This window comes from Homo sapiens, chromosome 10 (assembly GCF_000001405.40).
Source record: "Homo sapiens chromosome 10, GRCh38.p14 Primary Assembly".
In the NCBI taxonomy this organism is placed as follows: Eukaryota; Metazoa; Chordata; class Mammalia; order Primates; family Hominidae; genus Homo; species Homo sapiens.
In genome coordinates, this window is record NC_000010.11 from 84350928 (window position 1) to 84375268 (window position 24341).

The 24341-nt window shown below is 38.0% G+C and overlaps 1 protein-coding gene across 14 annotated transcripts in view, besides 2 other annotated features; it reads left to right on the forward strand.

The window, feature by feature from the left end:
- CCSER2 (coiled-coil serine rich protein 2) overlaps nt 1–24341 on the forward strand; it is a 189929-nt gene that overhangs the window by 22339 nt on the left and 143249 nt on the right. For 11 of the 14 annotated variants that reach the window (NM_001351290.2, XM_005269905.5, NM_001351292.2 and 8 more), the window contains exons 2-3: nt 20087–21542; nt 22692–22888. In NM_001351290.2, coding sequence (NP_001338219.1) covers nt 20126–21542; nt 22692–22888 — 1614 coding nt within the window. In that variant the 5' untranslated portion in view covers nt 20087–20125. Of the gene's footprint in view, nt 1–9382; nt 19797–20086; nt 21543–22691; nt 23075–24341 lie in introns of those variants that run through there. The other 3 variants (XM_047425365.1, NM_001284241.2, XM_047425368.1) reach the window with 3 other exon arrangements.
- Nucleotides 70–239: an enhancer, noted in NCBI's record as "experimental_17641 CRE fragment used in MPRA reporter constructs". NCBI's record gives its function as "activates a minimal promoter by MPRAs in K562 erythroleukemia cells, with activity observed for the non-introgressed 10:86110838 variant allele {active_cell/tissue: K562}" and the evidence as "EXISTENCE:reporter gene assay evidence [ECO:0000049][PMID:34662402]".
- Nucleotides 1346–1640: an enhancer, noted in NCBI's record as "tiled region #13339; K562 Activating DNase matched - State 12:CtcfO". NCBI's record gives its function as "activates a minimal TATA promoter and a strong SV40 promoter by Sharpr-MPRA in K562 cells {active_cell/tissue: K562}" and the evidence as "EXISTENCE:reporter gene assay evidence [ECO:0000049][PMID:27701403]".

The following is a 24341-nucleotide window of genomic DNA, read 5'->3' on the forward strand; positions in this document are numbered from 1 at the left end:
GCTCTAAAAGTGGTTAATGAAGGATAAAGATATTTATAATCTTTGGTCCAGTCATCTGTGATTAAATGATTTATAGCACATTAATTCAATGTAATATATTGTAGCCCTTAAAATAACAAATATAACTGTAGAACTGTGGGATATATTTATAAAACAATGATATTTTAAAAGTAGAACATTAAATTGTACCTAGATAGTTCATATAGCTGACTCTGTGTGTGTAGATGAAATTTAGAAGGGTACATGAAGTAATGAGAATAGTTGTATAGTTGTGTTAGGGTGGTGGAATTATAGGGAGAAGTTTTTTTGTTTTTTGTTTTTTTTTTCCTTTGAGACAGAGTCTTCCTCTGTCACCCTGGCTGGAGTGCAGTGGTGTGATCTCAGATCACTACCTCCCAGGTTCAAGCGATTCTTGTGCCTCAGTGTCCAGAGTAGCTGGGATTACAGGCATCTGCCACCATGTCTGGCTGATTTTTGTATTTTTAGTAGAGATGAGGTTTCGTCCTGTTGGCCAGGCTGGTCTAGAACTCCTTGCCTCAAGTGAGCCACTCACCTTGGCCTCCCAAAATCCCAAAATGCTGGGATTATGGGTGTGCCACCATGTCTGGCTTTATTTATTTATTTAAGAGACTGGGTCTCACTGTGTTACCCAGGCTAGACTGGAACTCCTGGGCTTAAGTGATCCTCCCACTGCAGCCTTCCGAATAGCTTGGACTGTAGGCATGAGCCACCATGCCTGGCCCAGAAGTTTTAAAATATAGAGTATTTTATAATTAGTTTAATAAGAAAGGAGAAAATATAATGCTTGGAAAAGTCATTCCAACTAGAATTAAGTGAGATTTCAGTAGTCTGCATTAAGACTGTATTTCTTTTAATGTAGTTAAAGAATGCTTATTTTGTGGCCTTACCACATTATAATAATAGCCACATTTGGCTAGTGGCTGCTGTATTGACAGGGCAGATATATGTATTGGGTAAGGGCAGGTGGAGAACATTTCTTTTGGTACAGTGTTCTATGGATAGTGCCAGAATAAGAGATTGTGTGGGATGGATCACTCATGAGAGCAAGATAGGCAAAATGGTGACTTGTAGGCTGGCCGCGGTGGCTCACGCCTGTAATCCCAGCACTTTGGGAGGCCGAGGCAGGCGGATCACGAGGTCAGGAGATCGAGACCATCCTGGCCAACATGGTGAAACCCTGTCTCTACTAAAAATATAAAAAAAAAATTAGCTGGGTGTGGTGGCACACGCCTATAGTCCCAGGTACTCGGGAGGCTGAGGCAGGAGAATTGCTTGAACTCAGGAGGCGGAGGTTGCAGTGAGCCAAGATTGCGTCACTGCACTCCAGCCTGGCGACAGAGGAAGACTCTGTCTCAAAAAAAACAAAAACAAAATAGGTGATTTGTGTCCATACAATCCTTCTGAGGCTCAATCTTGAAGGTAGAGGAGCCAAGGTGAGGTGTGGGAACAGGGCCACAAGACATAGTTCATGGCACTGGCCATTAGGTGGCAGTGTCTCCTCAGGCCTGCTAGTTATTGGAGAAGCTCTTGGGGAGTAGGAAGAATGACGGGGGTGGGGAGCAGTCTTCTCGGTGAGTGGGCAAGGTTTCTGTATATATAAAAGTTTGTTGGTAGTATCTTTATATTTCAAAGAGTACCTATCACCACCACCACCACTGCCGCCGCCACCACCTCCTCTTACCATATTAAGTGCCACTGACAGGTTCAGTGGTCCTGATTCCTGACTCTCTATGTGAACTTGGACAAATTACTTAACTTTCCTAAAGCTATTTCTTCATCTGTGAAATGGGAATAAATATACCTATCTAGTAGTTGTTAAGGTAGGAGGTTAAGGTTAAGATGCGATAATTCTTTTTTTTTTTGGAGACAGAGTCTCTTGTCACCCAGGCTGGATTGCAGTGGTACAATCTTGGCTCACTGCAACCTCCGCCTTTTAGGTTCAATTGACTCTTATGCCTCAGCCTCCCAAGTAGCTGGGATTACAGGCATGTGCCCCCCAGACCTGGCTAATTTTTGTGTTTTTAGTACAGATAGGGTTTTACCATGTTGGCCAGGCTGGTCTCGAACTCCTGACCTCAGGTGATCCACCTGCCTTGGCCTCCCAAAGTGCTGGGATTACGGGCGTGAGCCACCGCGCCCAGCCTAAGATACAATTCTTATAAGTGAATAGCACAGTGCTACACATATACCTACTTGGTAAAAATTAGTTATCGTTAAGGGCCCTGACAGTCATGTTCTCCTCTTTTGTTTTCAGCAGGGACGGTTAAGCCTTTCCACCCTCTGGTTGCATAGGAAGGACAGTTTCTTGCCTCGGTCATGGAGATCCTGTATAGCCTGTCTTCCATGGGTGTTCCTGTCTCTTGAGATAGCAGCCCGAGCCAGCCCCAGGACATTATTCATTTGTATATACTAACATCTGTTATATGCCAGGCTCTGTGCTAGATGCTGAGTATTAAAAAAACGAGTCTTTAATTAGGCTATTGAGTATATGTTGTAGATATTTTCATTATGCTTATGTTTTTGAAATTACTTGTATTGCTCAAGTTCTGTATGCTTTTGTTGGTTGAGTTTGCTCATAACGTTTAGTAAGACCGAGTCCCTACTTCCTGCAGCCCCATTCAGCTGCAGGTGTGATTTCCACACCCTTCAGGTTTAGCCAATCCTGACTTAGGTGGGTGAATGGGGCCTGCAATTAGCATGGCTACCACAGGCACAATGTTTACCATTCCCATCAAGCTGCCACTTTCTTCTGGACTTAGCTGTAAATCAGAACTTCTGCCTTCTTTTCCCCTTTAGCATTTTCAGTCTCCTAATGGGACTGGAAGCCCATGTTGATCTCATGGTGGGATCTTGTTCCAAATATTGTCCCCACTATTTTCTTTATTTTTAACCTCCTCTTTGAGCTCTTTTCCTGCAGAAAAGAGGGTACAAAATAAAAACAAAAAAACAAAAAAACAAAAAAACCCAGGCCAGGCATGGTGGCTCATGCCTGTAATCCCAGCATTTTGGGAGGCTGAGGCGGGTGGATTACTTGAGCTCTGGAGTTCAAGACCAGCCTGGACAATGTGGCGGAAACCCATTCTTTACAAAAAATACAAAAATTAGCCAGGTGTGGTTGCACACACCTGTAGTCCCAGCTACTGGGGAGGCTGAGGCGGGAGGGTTGCTTGAGCCCAGGAGGTCGAGGCTGCGGTGAGCTGTGTTTGCACTACTTCACTCCTGCCTGGGTGGGTGACAGAGGGAGACTCTATCTCAAACAAAAAACAAAAAAACAAGATTACGTCTATGTTGTCTCAAGTTACTTTTTTTTTTTTTAAATAGGGTTTGTTTGAAAGAATAGAGTATGTTTCCTGACTGTTTATCTCTTTATTCTTGAACCTGCTGTAGTCAGGTTTCTGTCCTCATCTTGTCTCCTGAAACTGCTTTGGCAAAGGTGACCAAATTTGTAAACTACTAAGCCCAATTATTCTTTTTGGTTCTTAGTTTACTTATATGTGGAATTTGACACTACTGCTTGTTATCTTCAAAGTTTCTTGCAAATTACTTTTTTATTTCTCTTCTTTACTCTTGGATCATACGTTCTCTGTGCCACCCCCCGCCCCCCGCCCCGCTTCCCCCTCATCCATTTTTTAAGTGTTGGTGATACCAGGACTGTGCCTTTCTCTCCTTGTTGTACATCTTCTCCAGGTGACCTCACTTGTTTTTGGTGGGAAATTTGACCATCGTTCCTGTACTGATAATTCCCAAATCATCATCTTCCTTTCAGATTTTGCCCTTGCATTTCAGACTCCTTTGACCGGTAAACACCCTCGCGTATGCTCTCTAGATATGCACCTCAAAGTTAGCTTGATGTGCTAAGTTTGTGATGTTTTTCCCCAGACATAATGTTTGCCCTCAATCAAAGGCAAACATTATGCCTGGGGAAAAACATCATGTCCAGTCAGACAAGCCCAGAATTTTGAGCTCTTTCCTCTTATCTCCCACATCTAATCAATCACTCATCCATTTATTTGCTAAATATTATGTTCTCATTTTGTGCCCATTATTGTGACAAAAATTCTTTAGATTTAATATTGCTGATATCTTTTGTACCTTTTTGCTACAATCTTTGTTGTCTTTCTCATGTTGTAACTAACCTCTTAACCCATCTCCCCTTCTTAACCCATCTCCTGCGTACTTAAATCAAAGTGACTTTTCAAAATTCAGGTCAGATCTTTTTTTTTAATGGTTTAAAACCCTTTAGTTTCCTAATTGCCCATAGTAAAGTCCAGACTTCTTAGTATGGCACATAAGCCACTCTGTAGGCTGTATTTTTCCACTATTCTTCCTTTCTTCTTATGCATTTCTGAAACCCTGTTCACTACCATTGTTCAGCCAACAACAGTTTTCTGAATGTGTCATGCTGATTCTATGTTTTTGTTTATGCTCTTAGGCTGTATTGTTTTTTCACATTCAGTGTCTTTATTTCTATTTACCATTTATCTTTTGAAACTCAGCTCAAGCATTGCCTCCTCTACGAAGCCATTTATGTTATCCCTCTCTCCCAGTTAAGCACTTTCTTTTTTGTTCCCCCATGTGCTACCCCATATACTCTGCTCTAGCAGTTATAGTACTTCATTCCCCTTCTCTTGTCTACATGTCTTTTCCCTTATATTGGAAGGTCTTATTTTATCCACAACCTCTATCTTAGAGCCTGATTCATAATAGGCTTTCAATAAATGTTTAATAACTAAATGAATGTATTTTAAGTCATTGGTGTAATGAAAGCATTTCTTCCTTTACCAGATCATAAGCTGCTTATGGCAAGTACTGTATGTACCTTCTTTATTTTTCAGGATCTTGTCTTATAGTTACTTTATAAAAAAGTGTTGTGGCTGGGCACTGTGGCTCACGCCTGTAATCCCAGCACTTTTGGAGGCTGAGGTGGGTGGATCACCTGAGGTCAGGAGTTTGAGACCAGCGTGGCCAACATGGTGAAACCCTGTCTCTACTAAAAATACAAAAATTAGCTGGATGTAGTGGCGGGCGCCTGTAATCACAGTTACTTGGGAGGCTGAGGCAGGAGAATCACTTGAACCTGGGAGGTAGAGGTTGCAGTGAGCCAAGATCATGCCATTGCACTCCAGCCTGGGTGACAAGAGTGAAACTGTCTCAAAAAAAAAAAAAAAAAAAGGTGTTGTATTAATCTGAGGTGGAGGTTTGCAGTGGATTAAGTGTGGCCTCTCTACAAAGGAAGAAGTTGAGTTCTGTTAGTCCTAAGCACAATGAGATATTTGATGGTTATTATAATTAATTCATAGAGGCAAACATTGCACCTAACTTTAGTCACTTTGGTATTTGGCAAATCAAGCAGATTCTCAGTGTCGGTACTCGGGATTGGTTAAATGCTGTTAACTATTTTAAGGATTTTTACTTTTAAAAAATGTTAAGGTATGGGTGTCCTAGTTGCTATTAAGAGTTGTGTGAGCAATTATCTAAAACATTTTGTAACTAAATCATACAGGGAGCCAGTATTTGAAGAGCACAGTCATACTGAGACTAAAACTGCGCTATACTCTATTTCTTTTGTAATTTAGTATTTTTTTAAAAAAATGTTTTATGCCAAAAGTTTTAAGTTCCTTCTTCAAAAAAATGAAAGAAGTAGGTGTCGTGGATATGCGTAGAGATTGAGATTCTAAATTAGAATACATTATTAAGAAGGAAGCTATCAGGGAAGAGATCGGTTTCTTCATTAGGGTTAGTAACCCAATATAGTTTGTGGAGAGGTGGAAAAAAATCAATATCATGCATTAGTACCTGTTTTACTTACGTAAACAGGAACCTATGAATAGGAGCTTATAAACCAGTTCTATAGGACCTCAGATATTAATTGAAATATACTGCCAATTGTGTGATAAGCTGTTATACATTATGTGTGTGTGTGTATATACATATAGATGTGCTGATAATGTAAATTTGAGGTAAAAATTAGTAAAATACCTAGCAAGACACTGTTAAGGAATATGCTGTTTATTCTTGCTTTTAACCTACATTTGTAAAAAACCAGTTAGGTGCCAGCCTATGTCTTAGGGCTTGACTGAGGCAGCAGATGATTGAAAGTCAGTCTGTGTTCTCAAAGAACTTGGCCTCCAGTGGAGGGAAAATAAACTTTGAGTGTCTGAGGGGCATTACTTGGTGTGTTGACAAGAAATGAGAGCCCACATCTGAGGCTGGTGGGTTTGGCTTCTGCAAAGACGGTTTGATACCATGAAGAATGTGTGAAGGGTGAGGGGTAGTGCATTTCAGACACAAGACTATATGTGTAAACACATGTCTGTTAACCCCAGAACTCCCAACAAGTCAGGCATAAACCTTTACAATTAGTCGAATAATTGGGGCTGATGACTAACTACACCGTCCATAGAAACCTTGAAAATTCCCTAGCTCCCTTTTCCCTCCATTGGACTTGCTTCCCAGTGTATGGCCTCATATTTCTTTTTTATGACATTTATTATATTTTTGTGTTTTTTTTTTTTTTTTGAGACGGAGTCTCTCTCTGTCACCCTGGCTGGAATGAAGTGGTGTGATCTCGGCTCACTGCAAGCTCTGCCTCCCGGGCTCACGCCATTCTCCAGCCTCAGCCTCCCGAGTAGCTGGGACTACAGGTGCCTGCCACCTCGCCCGGCTAATTTTTTTGTGTTTTTAGTAGAGACGGGGTTTCACCGTGTTAGCCAGGATGGTCTTGATCTCCTGACCTCGTGATTCGCCCGCCTCAGACTCCCAAAGTGTTGGGATTACAGGCGTGAGCCACCGCGCTCGGCCATATTTTTGTGTTTTTAAATGTCTAGTCTTTGCTGGGCCATTAGCTCTAGGAGTGCAAGGTTCATATCTGTCTGTGACAACTGTATCCACAATAACTTGTGCAGTTGCTGGCACATAATGGATGTTCAGTAAATACTTAGTAGACAAATAATGCTTCTATGGGTGACATAATGGTGTTATGGAAAGCATATAGTAGTTCTGTTGAAGAAGAGAATGTGGTTTAATGCATGATTTTAAGTATGATTTTCCTTTCCCATTAGGTGGAATTTAGCCATCTAGACAGTAAAGAACACACATGCCTCTTGAGTTGCTCACCTCTGTTTTCCCCTGCCTACAGTGGTTTGGAAGACATAGATAACTATGAAATAGGACATTTTGGGTGAGGTTAGGGTCTAAAGTTAGCATGGAGTTTAAAAATCTTGTATAGTTGCCGTTGAGAAGCCAGATGGTGACTTAAGTTTAACCTGGTTATCTTTTCTTGCAGCTTTGGTTGAGTACCAAAGAGTTGGTCAGTTCAGAGAGTTGGCTTCTGCAAAAAATACCCATTTTCAGATAGTAGTATATCACTGTTGGTAATTTGTTCATACTGTGCCAAGCATGTATAAACTGAGACTTACTGAGAGAGGAGGAGATTCATGTCTTTTCCTATATGTTCACTTTGTAAGTATATTTTTATAGAGTGGAATGATGGGTGGAATCACCTATACCATTAATGTTCCTCTAGCTCTGGAAAGTAATTTTACTTTGTCTAAATTCAAATATATATGTGTTGGGAGGCTGAGATGGGAAGATCACCTGAGCTCAGGAGTTGAGGCTGCAGTGAGCTGTGATAGCACCACTGCATGCTGGCTTGGGTGACAGTGAGACCCTATCTAAATATATATATATGTATATATGTGTATATATATATACATATACATATATGTATATATATATACACACACACACGTGTATATATATATTTATTAATTATACACAGACACGTAATGTGATTGCCTCAACTATTCCCTCCTCCACCATCTCCACTCTTTTCAGGTACAGAAGTTCATTTATTTACAAACAGTTTTAAGTTCTGAAAGGCTGTTCATAAATTCTTTTTGTAAATAATCGCTAACATTTTCCTTTGGTGTCAGGCATTGCTGAGAAACTTTCATTTTGATTGGTTGCCTTGTTCATATGTACAGAAGCTTATGAGTTGAAAGTAGAGGAGTTTCTGTATGTGGGACCTGTGAACCTAGGCATTTACTGTCTCCTGGTCCTAGGACCCTGCTTTGCTTAGTGAAGTTTGCTCTTCAGAAAGATTCCTGTAACCTTCTCCCACTGGAAATGACTCAAGACCAGGAATATCTAATTTTCAGGACATACACTTTTTTGTCCCAACTTTTTTTTTTCTTTTTAAAAAGTGCTTTATGTCCAAAGGATTACTTAATTCCCCTAGGATGAGTTAATTCAGGCATTACTGTATCAATAGTATTTTATACAGTTGTGGAATTGGGAGGGGACTTCATTTATCTCCCCCTGGTGCACCTGCAACTCTGAAGGGTCCATTGTATCTGGGGGAAACAGAATGGAATGTAAAAAATGTTTAGTTGATTTATGTGAGGGTCAGGTCAAGAACAGGTTAAACTAATTACGATAATAGGGGTTAAAATAGAGCAGTGGTTCCACAGTGTTTGTGTGTATCAGAATCACCTGGAAGGCTTTATTAAAACAAGATCTCTGGGCTCTACAGAATTGCTGAGCACTATATCTAAGGTAAGGCCTTAGAAAATCTATTTTTAACAAGTTTCTAGGTGTTATTGATGCTACTGCTGATCAGCCTTGGTCAGGGTAGTTAGAAGTTTATGATTTTGCTAATTCAAGAGTCCTTTGTCTTTTGTAGGAGGAGTTAAATGTAGAGATCCAGGGTTTGGGAGTTCTCTGAATAGGGGTATATAAGTGCTCCTGAGAGAGAATGAAAATGAATGCTAAGAGAAGGAGGATAATGTGGAATGTGCTGAAATTTATTTCCTATCTCTTTCCCTGATGAAAGCATCCTTATTTGGGGTTTACTTTTTTATTTTTATTTTATTTTTTTTTTCTGAGACAGAGTCTCACTCTGTTGTCCAGGCTGGAGTGCAGTCGTGCAATGTCAGCTCACTGCAACTTCCACCTCCCGAGTTCAAGTGATTCTCCTATCTCAGCCTCCCAAGTAGCTGGGATTATAGGCACCTGCCACCACACCCAGCTGATTTTTGTATTTTTAGTAGAGATGGGGTTTCACCATCTTGGCCAGGCTGGTCTGGAACTCCTGACCTCAGGTGATCACCTGTCTCAACCACCTAAAGTGCTGGGATGACAGGTGTGAGCCACTGTGCCTGGCTGGGGTTTACTTTTTTAAATGGAAGTTTTATATGGATGTTTTCAAACATCATGTGTAGAGAAAACAGCATAATTAATCCCTGGTGTTATTTACCACTTACCTTTTAATAGTTTCAGTTTTAACTGTCACACTCCCTTTTTTGAGGGGTGTTTTGATATTTAATGGAGTGTTTCAGATTTTCTTACTTTGTGATTCTATCTTTTTTTCTGTATTTATCAGTTGTGGTTCTTCTATAAAGAAGATTTTCCATCAATTTTTTGGTTACTTTGAAATACAAGAAGAGCAGGATACATGCTTATTTCTTTTATCAATTTGTAGAATAAGTTGTCTTTGCAGTAAGGCTTATTTTTACTATTTATAGGAGTAGAAGCAGTTTGAGGCTTTTAATTTTTTAAGAGAAGCTTTAAAAAATGAAGTATAACTTACATACAATAAAATACATAAATCTTAAATGATGTACTCTTGGTGAATTTTACACCATCCAGATCAAGTTGCCAATGTCTCAGTCAACCCCTTTTCAGTTAGCCCGCTCTTGCAGAGTTAGTCTCTGTCCCAGGGATTTCCAACGTATGAATTCCAGATCGGCAGAATCAACATCACCTGGAAACTTGTTAAAAATACTTTTTCCTAAGGCCTTACCTTTGATATGTTGGTTCAGAAACTCTGGGAGTGGAGTCCAGAGATCTTGTTTTAATGAAGTCTTCCGGGTGATTCTGATACACACAAGCACTGTGGAACCACTGCTGTATTCTAACACATATTATCATAATTACTTTAATCAGTTCTTGACCTTACTCTCACATAAATGGATCAACTGAACATTTCTCCCATTCCATTCTGTTTCCTCCACATGCACTGGATTTTTTTCCTGTGCCCCTGGGTGAGAAGTCTTGCTGCTGCTTCCCCAGCAGTTTAAGGCTTTTGCTTCAGAGGACAGAAGGAGGCAGGGAAGTGAGAGGGTTTGTGTTTGTTCCAGTGCAGGCTTTCATCACCTCCTGCATGCCTGTGCCGTTAAGAGGGGGCTTTCTTATATGTTTCTCTTGAATGCTAGGTTGAGGCCCATGAGGAAGAGCTTGCTGTTGTGCTAGTCCACATTTGGCTTTTAAGCAGACATTAAAATGTTAGCTTATTACTCCTTTTTATGGTGGTCATTTCTGTCTTTTATGCTCAGCCAAAAGTGAAACTGTTAAATGTCCCGTCTCTCCTGGGAGGGGCTTGTCTCCCTTTGGAATTTGGTTGACTTGCTTGCCTTACAATAACAGCTTTCTGATGGGCTTATGAAAGGTTATGATTTTGAAGATTATCTGGCTCTTCCAGGTTTTTAGGTAGGAGTGATATTAATTGCAGCTTTTTACATCGAAAATGGAAATCTGACCTTCATATAAATGGAATCACACTATATTTATCCTCAAGTCTCTGGATTCTCTTGTTTAAAGGATCCTGTTAGTTTTATCTGTATTGTTGCATATAGCAATAATTAGGTCTTCATTACCATGTTGTATTCTATTATGTAGAAACTACCACTAACATTTTTCTTTTTTTTTTTTGAGATGGAGTTTCGCTCTTGTTGTCCAGGCTAGAGTGCAGTGGTGCAATCTCACCTCACTGCAACCTCTGCGTTTTGGATTTTTGGATTCTCCTGCCTCAGCCTCCCGAGTAGCTGGGATTACAGGCATGCACCACCATGCCTGGCTAATTTTGTATTTTGAGTAGAGACAGGGTTTCTCCACATTGGTCAGGCTGGTCTTGAACTCCCGACCTCAGGTGATCCGCCCACCTCGGCCTCCCAAAGTGCTGGGATTACAGGCGTGAGCCACCGTGCCTGGCCTCACTAACATTTTTCTATGAAACTATAATTCTAACGTATGTAGATGTTTACAAAATGTTTCATGTTTAGGTATTTACTGTTTGTCATATACTGAGCAAGCTGGGGCTTGAGTAGTGTATTCTGGTGAATCAAACCCAGTATGTGCCATTAGTGAATTTATGGCCTAGTAGTCTTCCATCCATGTTAATGTTACTCCTGTTACTGTTCTTCCTGATGCTGGATCTCCTATGGCCCTGTCCCTACTGCCCATTTAATTTAATATAGGGAACTTTGCTCAAGCAGATCCTGTATAGACTGAAATGTTAAATGTTTGCTTGTTTTGATTTGACCTGGTGTTTGTAAAATGTCTGTACTTAATTGTTATAGGTGTCTACTATTTTAAAAGGCAGTATATGGGTCAATATTGACGTAGTTTGGCATGTGTCATCTTTTCCTAGCCCTCTGCACATTAATGACATTTGCATGCCCCACAGGTATTTGAGTTTTGTGTTCCTGTACCAACTGGTAAAATTTGGAGGGAGAAATTTTTATGGTTTGGCCAGGGGAACTTCTGGTTCCTCTTGTTAGTATTTTTGTTCTTTTAAGTTTAAATTTCAGGAAGTAATATACATTGGATCTGCATAATAACCTTATTTAATGTTCTTAAACCACAAATTCCTTTTGAGCTTAACTTTTACAAGTTACTTTGAACTCCATTTATGTGAGTGAAAATGAAGTTGTAGCTGGAGCACAGAAAGGTCATATTGATACAATAAAGAGGCTTTGTGTTGAGCATGGCATGTCCTCTTTAAAACTTTGAAGAATCTGGAAGTAAGCGCACCATTTTAAACCTTTACTTTGGCTAAAGTTGTCATTTTTGCTTATTTAATTGGTATTTTATTTTATTTTATTTTAATTTATTTTATTTTATTTTTGAGATGGAGTTTCACTCTTGTCACCCAGGCTGGAGTGCAATGGCGCAATCTCCGGTCACTGCAACCTCTGCCTTCTGGGTTCAAGCAATGCTTTAGCCTCAGCCTCCCAAGTAGCTAGAATTACAGGTGCCTGCCACCACGCCCAGCTAATTTTTTTTTTTTTTTGTATTTTTAGTAGAGATGGGGTTTTACCATGTTGGCCAGGCTGGTCTCAAACTCCTGACCTCAGGTGATCCACCCGCCTTGGCCTCCCAAAGTGCTGGGATTACAGGTGTGAGCCACCACACCCAGCTATTTTTTTTTTTTTTTTTTGTATTTTTAGTAGAGATGGGGTTTTACCATGTTGGCCAGACTGGTCTCAAACTCCTGACCTCAGGTGATCCACCTGCCTGGGCCTCCCAAAGTGCTGGGATTACAGGTGTGAGCCACCACGCCTGGCCACTTATTTAATTGCTATAATCAAGCCTTTGAATCAGCTTATGCCACAGATGACAGCCAGGAAAAAATGGGAAAAGGGGATATGAAAGAAGTAGTTGAGTAACACAAGGTTAAAAAAAATTACTTTAAATTCTGATCTAGTTGTCTGAACTTGAAAGCAGATTTCCGAAGTAACTGCTTATACGTGTGTAGTCATCAGTATTGTTGTTCAGTTAATTGCTCTTGTACTTAGTAGTGAGTTTATGTCTGTTTAAACCCCTAAAATGCAGACAATTTATACCTTCTAAAAAACTATTTGAAAAACTAAAAAAAGACAGTGAGTGGGTGGTTCCTCAGATGATGAGGTAATGGATATGAAAGGAGTTTGAAAAAGTGACAGCTCTTACTGTTCTTCTGCTAAATTTCTGTAATTAATATCTAGGTCCTTTGCAGTCTTTATGGTTTTCCTCTGACATTAGCCATTCAGTCCCTTCCTTCATTCTTGTCCCTTGTTGTTAGTAGGCTTCTCAGAATACAGGCAGCATCGCTTAACGAAGGGGATCTGTTCTGAGAAATGCCTCCTTAGGCCATTGTTGTTCTGTGAACATCATAGAGTATACTTACACAGATGCAGATGGTATAGCCTACTACACACCAAGGCTATATGGTATACTATCTTGCTTATAGGCTACAAACCTGTACAGCATATTACTGTATTGAATACTGTAGGCAGTTGTAACACAATGGTAAGGAATTGTTTATCTAAAGTTATGTAAACATAGAAAAGTTACAATAAAAATACTATATAAAAGAGAAAAAAATGGTATACCAGTATGGGGCACTTGAATGGAGCTTACAGGACTGAAAGTTGCTCTGGATGAGTTAGTGAGTGAGTGGTGAGTGAATGTGAAGGCCTAAGACATCATTGCACACTAGTATAGACTTTATAAACTCTGTACAAACAGATACAATAAATATGTAAAAAATAAAGTAATTGCATTACAATGTTACAATGGCTAGCATGTCACTAGGCTATAGGAATTTTTCAGCTCCACTGTAATCTCATGGGACCATCGTTGTAAATATAGTCCATTATTGACTGTAACATCATTGCTTGGCTCACTGACTGTATTTCATTCCTTTGTCATGAAGGCAGTTTTCATTGGCCCTGGAATCAGGTAAACTTGAACCCGAATCCTCTTTGACAGTTTATGAATTTGTGACTTTGGACAAGTATATTAGCCTCTCTGAATCTTGGTTTTAGCTATTTAAGATGGGAAGAAATCTACTACCTTATAATGTTATGAAGATTAAACAAAAAGTATGAAGTGGTAAGCATGGTACCTATCATGTAAGTGCTTAATAATATTTGCTGCTGCTTTTCCCTTATCCAATTGTGGATTTCTTTTAAAAGCGAGAAGCTTGATTTACAGTTTTAAAAAAAGGCATTTATAAGTATTTTTGAATTTTTTTTTGTTTTTTTTTTTTTGAGATGGAGTCTGGCTCTTTTGTCCAGGCTGTAGTGCAGTGGTATGATCTCGGCTCACTGCAACCTCTGCCTCCCGAGTTCAAGTGATTCTTGTGCCTCAGCCTCCCGAGTAGCTCAGATTACAGGTGTGTGCCACCATGCCTGGCTAATTTTTGTATTTGTGGCAGAGACAGGGTCTCACCATATTGGCCAGGCTGGTCTCGAACTCCTGACCTCAGGTGATCTACATGCTTCAGCTGCCCAGAGTGCTGGGATTATAGGCGTGAGTCACCACGCCCGGCCTGAAAAAAATTTTTAAATATTAAATACCAATACTGTAAATTTGCTATACTTTAAAAAATTATTCTTGCAGAAACTAAAAAAAAACTGACATTTTCAAGCACTGGTCCAGATATTAGTCTTAGTTCACCACTAAATTAAAGCTCACAGATGGTATTAAAGTGTCTCAGAGATTATATCATTAGATGATGTAGGCAACATATATTTTTTCAAATTGTTAATGAATGGATTTTTTAGACACCTAACAGATTACAGTTTAGGTAAAGTGCATCAAAGACAGCATGGCTACCAAAATGAAGCAGACTCACAATGTCTATTTTATTTTATTTCAAAATTATAAGCAAATATAAGGGAAAATTTCATGAACTTTTAAAGACAGATGGTAGCTCATCAACGAATGAAGTGATAATATTCATAACGTAAACTTCATAGTGGAGCTGTCAGACTAGTTTATCTTAAGACCAAAGTTCAAGATGATTGATGTGATTTGTGTTGCAATTATTTGTACATTTAGAAATCGTTATTCTTCATAGAGAATAGCACATTCAGGTTCTAACATTATTCTTTTCCCCCACAAACTGGTGGAACCACAAACACCAGTAACAGTGTGTCTCTCTTGTGGGCTCATCTTGTGCCTCTAAGTTATTAATACTGAAGATGCTCTTGGGAGATAACATGTATTACCCTCATCTTAGGCAGGAAAATAGAGGCATAGAGAAAGGAAAGAATATAATTTTCTTTCCGTGGTCTACTTGTGACAGGCGGGGAAATGTTAAAGCCTTTCTGACTCACAGGCTCTTTAATCTTTAACATGTATTATTTATTGATTTGCAAAATGACCCTAATATGTAATATCAATACCAGTTTTCTTATGTTTATACCGAAAGTGGTTGTGGGTATGGTAGTATGTTTTGTGGAAAAGACCATTATCAAAAATGAGGAAGACAGTTGTCTGGCATGGATATTGCCACTGTCCCTTGCTCTGCTCCTGGCAAACATTGCTGCTTGATCATGTCACTACTTCAGAAGCTAGATTTGACCTCAGCATCCTTTTTGTTTTTTAAAAATTTTAATGTTAAATTTTTAGTAGAGATGAGGTCTCACTATGTTGCTCAGTATGGCCTTCAACTCCTGAGCTCAAGCGATCCTTTCGCCTCAGCTTCCCAAACTGTTGAGATTACAGGTGTGAGCCACTGTGCCCGGCCTCGGAATCCTTTTCAACATATTGCCCAAGGGAGCTATTACCAGTCAATCACAGGTCCACAAAACAAAGTTCTTTTTTAGTCTTTCCTTACTGTTGAATTAATTTACATTAAGAGATTATGAATTTACTTAAAAGTTGAGGATCTATTAAATTTGTAGTCCTGTAGCTGGCCTCAAAGTACAGTATATAAGACTTAGTTTATGTTCTCAGCAGGTTTACTTTCCTGTGGGTCAAATAGACATGCACACAATTAGAAGACAAACTCAGCTATATTATTGCTGTGAAGAGAATAGAGAATGATGTAAGATTAATTTTAACTGGAAATGTTGGTGGATGTGGTGATTTTGGACTTTGAGGATAGAATCTTCCAAGGGGTCTTTAGCAAAGGCAAAGAAGTTAGAAAATATAGGATGGATTTTGGGCAATGACAAATAACGTATCTTGGCTTAAGTATATAACAAGGATAAGGTAGAATCAAATAGAGTAGCTTGCTCCCTGTACAATGAGTTTTGGGTTTTATTTTGTTGTTCCTAGTCTCACAGATGGTTTTTAATCAGTAGAATGACGTGATCCAGATCTTTGCTTTAAGAAGATAACTGCTGACAGTTTGAATAGAAGTAAGGTTGGAATCTTGACAAATGTAGGAATCCTTGGTAGTAGTACAGGAAGAAATGATGAGCATAAGAACTAGAATTGTGGAATGGAAGTGGTGAATTTAGAATAAATTTTTAATGGTAAAATTAATGTGATTCCTACAGGATTAAGTTATCCCCAGAGGCTCCAGCATTTCTTTGGAAGGTTATCCAGTTATTTCCTTTGTATATTCCAAGTTTAAAAAATTTTTTAAAGGTGATTTTTTTTCTCTACTTGTATTTCTGGAGAATTATTTCTTTATCCTTGGTATTTCATTAACTTAAATAGGATACGTATTTGCATCTGTGATTTGATATATTTTTTCTTTCCCTCCATAGATTTTTTTTCACCTTTATTTTAGGGATATTTTCTATTATGTCCTCCTGCCTTTTCTCTTCCATTTAATTAGTTATTCTACTTCAGGGATACTAATTATCTTTCTGTTCAGCCTTTGTCCTACATTTTCTTTCTAATTCAATATCTTTGTCTTTTTTTTCTCCTCGATACTTTTTTTTTTTTGAAACAGGGTCTCACTCTTTCAGCCAGGCTGGAGCGCAGTGGCTTGATCACGGCTCACTGCAGCCTCAACCTCGTGGGCTCAGTTGATCTTCCCGCTTTAGCCTTCTGAGTAGCTGGGACAACAGGTGTGTGCCACCATGCCTGGCTAATTCTTGTATTTTTTTTGTAGAGATGAGGTTTTGCCATGTTGTCCAGGCTGGTCTCACACTCCTGGTCTCAAGTGATCAACCCACCTTAGCCTCCTCGATATACTCTTGTTACCTTAAGATTTTTCTCCTTGCCATTTGTTTAAGTCTTTGCTTCTTTTCCTTGCTTTTTTTTTTTTTTCTTTCAAATTCATTGTTCTTCTTAATTGGTTTCCTTAACGCTGAAGCCTTTCTTTTCAATTTACCTGTTTTGTCTTTTCATCTTTGGGCTTTTGTTTCATTAGATGCATGTTCTTATTAGGTTGTTCTGTGTTACAAGAAACTGTTTATATGATTGTATGGGCATTTCTTTTTGTCTTGCTCAGGCTTAATTTGGATACCTAGGTCAAGACTTCGCTTTTGCCCTTCTGTGGCCCTATGCTTTCCCATCTCCTTAGATTGCGTTAAATGTCCTATACCAGTCTCATTTCATACTGCTGAGGGTACAGTACATGTCTATGGGCTTCAGATCCTTCCCTCAACTCAGTATAGGGACTTAGAAGTTGGCAGATCCTGGTGATGCCTCTGCCTAGGTTTTGAAGCCTCTGTGCTCGGGATATTTTTCCTCAACTTTTGTAGGGCATGGCAAATCAAATTTTTTCTATCCAAACTAGAGGTATTTCTTAAAATTTTCAAGTTTTTTAGTTCACATTTCTTTCTCACTACTGCTTCCAGGCAGTAATCAGGCTGCCAGTCATACTGTACCATACAGAATTTTTTTCTGTCCGCTACTTTTTAAACTTTATAAGTTCTTAGTTTAAATAGTTTTTTGTATTACAGTGTGTAACTGATAGGTTTTCTGCTGAAAAAAACCACATACACACAAATATATATATATATCTCTTAGTTGTTGGTAACAGGACGTTCTTTAGTCTTTTTTCACTCTATACTTGAACATTTGTACGATTTTCTAAATATTTACTTTTGACATAATAACATGTATTATAGGAACTCTACTTCTTAGGCCAGGGTTGACTTGGAATCAGTTGTTTTAAAAATAAAAAAAAATTCTCATGACTTTAGTAATTAAGGTTTTTCGAATGTCTTCTAGCTTTTATAAAACCATGTATTTTTTTAAAAAAATAATATGTTCTTTAATTACCTTTTATTTCACTGGCTTTAAGGGAACAGGTGATTTTTGGCTGCATGAATGAATTGTGTAGTGGTGAAGTCTGAGATTTTAGTGCACGTGCCACCCGAATAGTATACATTGTACCCTACTACATTGTGTAGTTTTTAAAAAATCTCTCATCCCTCTCCCATCATCCCCCTTTCTGAGTCTCCAGTGTCCATTATTCCTCTCTGTATGCCTTTGCATACCCATAACTTAGCTCTTAATTACAAGTAAGAACATGTGGTATTTGGTTTTTCATTCCTGAATTACTTCAGAATAATGGCCTCCATCTCCATCCACGTTGCTTCAAAAGATATTATTTCATTCTTTTTTATGGCTGAGTAGTATTCCATGGTGTATTTTTTTAATTCACTCATTGGTTGATGGGTACTTAGGTTGGTTCCACATCTGGCAATTGTGAATTTTGCTGTGATAAACATACATATGCAGGTTTTTTTTTTTTTTGATACAGTTTTCCTTTGGGTAGATACCCAGTAGTGAGATTGCTGGATCAAATGGTAGATTTAGTTCTTTGAGAAATCTACATACTGTTTCCCATAGAGGTAGTACTAATTTACATTACCACCAGCAGTACCTAAATGTTCCCTTTTCATCACATCTATGCCAATATCTATTGTTTTTTGACTTTTTAATAATAGCCATTCTGGCTGGGATAAGGTGATATCTCATTGTGGTTTTAATTTGCACGTCCCTGATGATTAGTGATGTTGAGCATTTTTTTTTCATGTTTCTTGGTCATTGTATACCTTCTTTTGAAAAATGTTTGTTGATGTTATTTGCCCACTTTTTGATGGGATTATTTTTTTCCTTGCAGATTAGTTGGAGTTCCTTATAGATTCTGGATACTAATCTTTTGTTAGATGCATAGTTTGCAAGTATTTTCTCCCATTCTGTGGGTTGTCTGTTTACTCTGATTATTTTTTGCTGAGCAGAAGCTTTTTAGTTTAATTAGGTCTCATTTATTTTTTTGTTGCATTTGCTTTTTGTGTCTTAGTCGTAAATTCTTTGCCTAGACCAATATCCAGAAGAGTTTTTCCTAGGTTTTCTTCTAGCATTTTTATGGTTTCATGCCTTGGATTTAAGTCTTAAATCCATCTTGGTTGATTTTTGTATATGGTAAGAGATAGGGATCCAATTTCATTCTTCTACATGTGGCTATCCAGTTTTCCTGGCAACATTTATTGAATAAGGCGTTCTTTTCCCAATTTTCATTTATGTATGCTTTGTCAAAGGTCAGTTGATTGTATTTGGCTTTATTTCTGGGTTCTCTACTCTGTTCCTTTGCTCTATGTATGTACTTTTATACCAGTACCATGCTGTTTTTGTTACTATAGTAGCCTTGTAGTATAATTTGAAGTTGAGTAATGTGATGCCTCCAGATTTGGTTTTTTGTTTAAGATTGTTTTTTGGTTCCATATGAATTTTAGGATTGTTTTGTCTAATTCTGGGAAAAATGATGTTGGTATTTCGATACAAATTGCATTGAATCTGTAGACTGCTTTGGGCAGCATGGTCATTTTCATGATATGGATTCCTCTAATGCATGAGTGTGGGATGTATTTCCATTCGTTTGCATTGTCTGTGATTTCTTTCAGAAGTGTTTTGCACTTCTCCTTGTAGAGATCTTTTACTTCCTTGGTTAAGTATACCTAGGTATTTTATTTTATTTTTTTGCAGCTATGGTCAAAGGGATTGAGTTCTTGATTCTCAGCTTAGTCATTGTTGGTATGCTACTGATTTGTGTACTTTGATTTTGCAACCTGTGACTTTACTGGATTTATCAAATCTTGGAATCTTTTGGAGGAGTCCGTAGGATTTTCTAGATATATAATCATATCATTGGCAAACAGAGATAGTTTGACTTCTTCTTTTCCAATCTGAATGCCTTTTATTTCATTCTCTTGCCTGAGTGCACTGGCTGTGGCTTTCCATATGTTCTTATTTTTAAAGGAGAGACTTTTACCCAAAATGAAAAAATTATTTGGATTGGAAATTGGAAGAAGTACTCTGTAAGTATTATTTTTTACATAGTCAAATTTGGTGGTTTAATTTTATTTCTAGATTTTGCTGTCATTCATAGCATACATTTATAAAAGTTTATAAAAATGTTCTTTATTTTCTTCCAACATAAAGTTATTAATTTAATTAGTGCATTCGGTATTTGCCAGGAGTTCTGTAGGAATCATGAGTAGCTTTTGGGTTTTTCTGCGTATAAAAGTGTAAGTATCATATTATGTAATAATTCATGTAATTATCCTTATTTAGGAATGTTTAATGTACTTCTTTTTTCTCTTCACAGATTCTTTCAACTTTTAAGAACAAATGCACCTTATAGCTCATGGAAGAAAAAACACAAATCAAGACATTTTTGGGTTCCAAGTTGCCAAAGTATGGAACAAAATCTGTAAGAAGTACATTGCAGCCAATGCCAAATGGGACACCTGTTAATTTATTAGGAACTTCCAAGAATAGTAATGTCAAAAGTTACATCAAAAATAATGGCTCTGATTGTCCATCATCTCATTCATTTAATTGGAGGAAAGCAAATAAATATCAGCTTTGTGCACAAGGTGTCGAAGAGCCTAACAATACTCAAAATTCACATGATAAAATAATTGATCCTGAAAAACGTGTTCCTACTCAAGGAATGTTTGATAAAAATGGGATAAAGGGAGGTTTGAAAAGTGTTTCTTTATTCACATCAAAGTTAGCAAAGCCATCCACTATGTTTGTGTCATCTACAGAGGAGTTAAACCAAAAGTCTTTTTCTGGACCATCTAATTTGGGTAAATTCACCAAAGGCACATTATTAGGAAGGACTTCATATTCTTCGATCAATACTCCAAAATCACAGTTGAATGGATTTTATGGAAACCGATCAGCTGGTAGCATGCAAAGGCCTAGAGCGAACTCCTGTGCCACCAGAAGCAGTTCTGGAGAAAGCTTAGCTCAATCCCCAGACAGTAGTAAATCTATTAATTGTGAAAAAATGGTAAGGTCACAAAGTTTTTCACATTCCATTCAGAATTCATTCCTTCCACCTTCATCTATAACCAGATCACATTCCTTTAATAGAGCTGTGGATCTTACAAAGCCTTATCAGAACCAACAGCTATCCATTAGAGTGCCTCTACGGTCAAGTATGCTAACAAGAAATTCCCGGCAGCCAGAAGTACTCAATGGGAATGAACATTTGGGGTATGGATTTAATAGGCCTTATGCTGCTGGTGGAAAGAAGTTGGCTTTACCAAATGGCCCAGGTGTAACTTCTACTTTAGGTTATAGAATGGTTCATCCCTCTCTACTGAAATCTAGCCGATCTCCATTTTCTGGGACTATGACAGTTGATGGAAATAAAAATTCACCTGCTGACACATGTGTAGAGGAAGATGCTACAGTTTTGGCTAAGGACAGAGCTGCTAATAAGGACCAAGAACTGATTGAAAATGAAAGTTATAGAACAAAAAACAACCAGACCATGAAACATGATGCTAAAATGAGATACCTGAGTGATGATGTGGATGACATTTCCTTGTCGTCTTTGTCATCTTCTGATAAGAATGATTTAAGTGAAGACTTTAGTGATGATTTTATAGATATAGAAGACTCCAACAGAACTAGAATAACTCCAGAGGAAATGTCTCTCAAAGAAGAGAAACATGAAAATGGGCCACCACAGGATATGTTTGATTCCCCCAAGGAAAATGAAAAAGCCTTCAGTAAAACTGATGAATGGATAGATATAAGTGTCTCTGGTAAATATTACTTACCTTAAGTTTTTTTGCTTTCTTTTAAATAATATAACTGAACTTACATTTAGGATTATCTTCAGATAGATTTCAAGATATTATCAGTTTCACGGAGGGATAGATCTAGACAAAATTGAGGTGGGTTAACGTTTATTTTCCTGTGACTTTTGCTCCATACCCCATTTTTCACCCTATCCAAGACAATATTAATAAAACCACTCTTAACCTTTGTTGTTCTTTGGCTGTTATACACAGCCTATTCCTGCTTAGTATATGCAGTGCTTCTAAATGACTTCCCCTGCTTACCTCAACCAGTGTGGTATGCCATTAAACAAACCATCTCTTCTCTTAGGATAGCATTTCATTGCTATTTGTTAAGAGTAAAGCTGTACCAAAGGGTACAATGAGATAATATAGGTTATGTCTAATCTCACGGATTTTTTTATCCTAGAAAATTCTTCTTGTTTAGCAATTTTTTAGATACACTTCCTGAGAGAGCTTTATTTATTTATTAAACTGAAGAAAGTGAAATAATACCTGTTAAACATTTCCTCTTATGTTTGGTTATCCTGTTACTAAATGCTGGATAAAATGTATTTGGTATTTGTATGCCCATATACCTGAATAAAGAACAACTAAAGGGATTAGATATAGACATGTGGTATAATCAGGGGACTAGATCGTGCATAGAAATGCATGTACAAACCCTTGATTGTCTATAGGTCTTCTAAAAGAGACTGCCGGAACAAGTTTATTTCCTTATAGGGAGGCAATTATGAGTACCCTACATTATTTAATCTATGAAGTTAAATAGTGTACACAGAGGAAAAGGAGTTTCCTGGCCAGTGTTTAAAAATAAATATCTTGGGAAATATAGGAATATGAGGGTTTATTTACATTTTTGGAAATATTACAGAAGTGAAAGATGACTAAATGAATTTTCTTTTCCTCTATTAGAAAATATTTCAGTAGGTTATTTTAAAGATTTTGGCTCTTGATGTTTTTATTGCTTAGGATATAGAAAATGCTACAGTTATGAGTGCTTTTTTTGAGCCAGCTTTTTTGCTATGATATATCAAATTATTAGCACTTATATTTTTAGGACACGAGAAACAATTATATTTTTGTGAATCAGTAACCTTTTTTCTCTTGAAGACAGGAGTGAATGTACAAAACATACTTCTGGGAATAATTTGGTTTCACCAGATACAGACTACAGAGCTGGTTCTTCGTTTGAACTCTCTCCATCTGATAGCTCTGATGGAACATACATGTGGGATGAAGAAGGCTTGGAACCCATTGGAAATGTCCATCCAGTTGGGAGCTATGAGTCCTCTGAAATGAACAGCATAGTATGTATGGATTTATATACTCTTGGAATATTTTGTTTACCCTACTATAGAGAGACTTGTGATATGATTGATTTTGTAAAAAATTTATGAATTAACTTTACTACTTTGAGAAATGGAAATTCATATTTGTTAAGAGCCTATAAAATATCTGACTCTAATATGAAATAAAGCATGGAGAATATATGACATTTGACTTAAATATACTCAACATGTTTACATATATATTCCTCATACATATGTGCATACTATATTAGTAGTTTAATCTATGCCAGTGGTTCTCAAAGACTGGGGGAGGAGGTCAATGACTGGAGGTGGTTTTGGTTGTCATATTGATGAGTGCTTCTTGGCATCTAGTGGGTAGATGCCAAGGATGTTGTTTAACATCCCACAGTCCACAAGACAGAGACCACAATGAATTATCTAGCCTAAGATGGCAGTACTGCTGCTGTTGAGAAACCTTGGCCTGTGCTATACTGAGGTAACATTGAAGTGCCAACTCTCAGTGGGATAATACAATACAAGTGTATTATTTTACTCTTAGAAAGTTTGTTGTGGGTCTGGACAGCTCTCTAGGGCAGCTGTCTTTAGTGATCTAAACTACTTTGATTTTGGGGCTTGACCATCTTTTGAGGTCCCTTCTTTTCACTATGGCAGAGGAAGAGAGTGCCAGAGGGTCTCACACATATAATTACTTGCATTGGCCTGCAGGCAACACTTGGCACTTCCGTTCATGATCTGTTGACCAGAACTAATCATGTGGTCCCATCTGAGTACTAAAGGGACAGGAAGTGTAATCTTTGTGTGTGCCTGGAAGGCAAGGGAATCAGCTATGGGCAAGTGTTAGAAGACCTGCCATGAATTTATATGTGCATATTTTAAGAAACATGGCAAGTAATGTGGATAATATGCCATATGGGTAAAGTGTAATTGGTATGTTTAAAGTGACTCATTGCAGTTATTCAGTATATAAAATACGATTTTCCAGTAGTTGTATGGGAAAATTGGTAGTCTGTGGATATATTAAATTCCAAGTGGATTTCAGGCAATGTAATTTTCTATACTCCTATAAACCTTTTACTTAAGCCATTGTTAACGGAGGCTTAAATTGCACAAACATTTTTTTTAACCGTTGTCAACACCTTGCATACAAACATTTAATTTAGAGACAGTGTCTTCATCTCATTAGATAAAGGAGGCTCAGAAAAGATAACAGTTTAAGACCTTATATGCTGTCTTACTAGGAGTTTTAAGGCAAATATGATTGAAGTGCAAATGAAAAAGGTGTCCAGCAGATGGCAGCAATAAACCACTTAGTACCTGACAGTTTTTGGAGGCTAACCACCTTGATTCAGTTCATTGTTCCTGTAACTAATCACAAAATAGCTTTCTGTCAAAGATTTCAGAATGCATCTGGATTAACTGTTAGTCCTTAAGATCCATGAGTTTCCTCCTT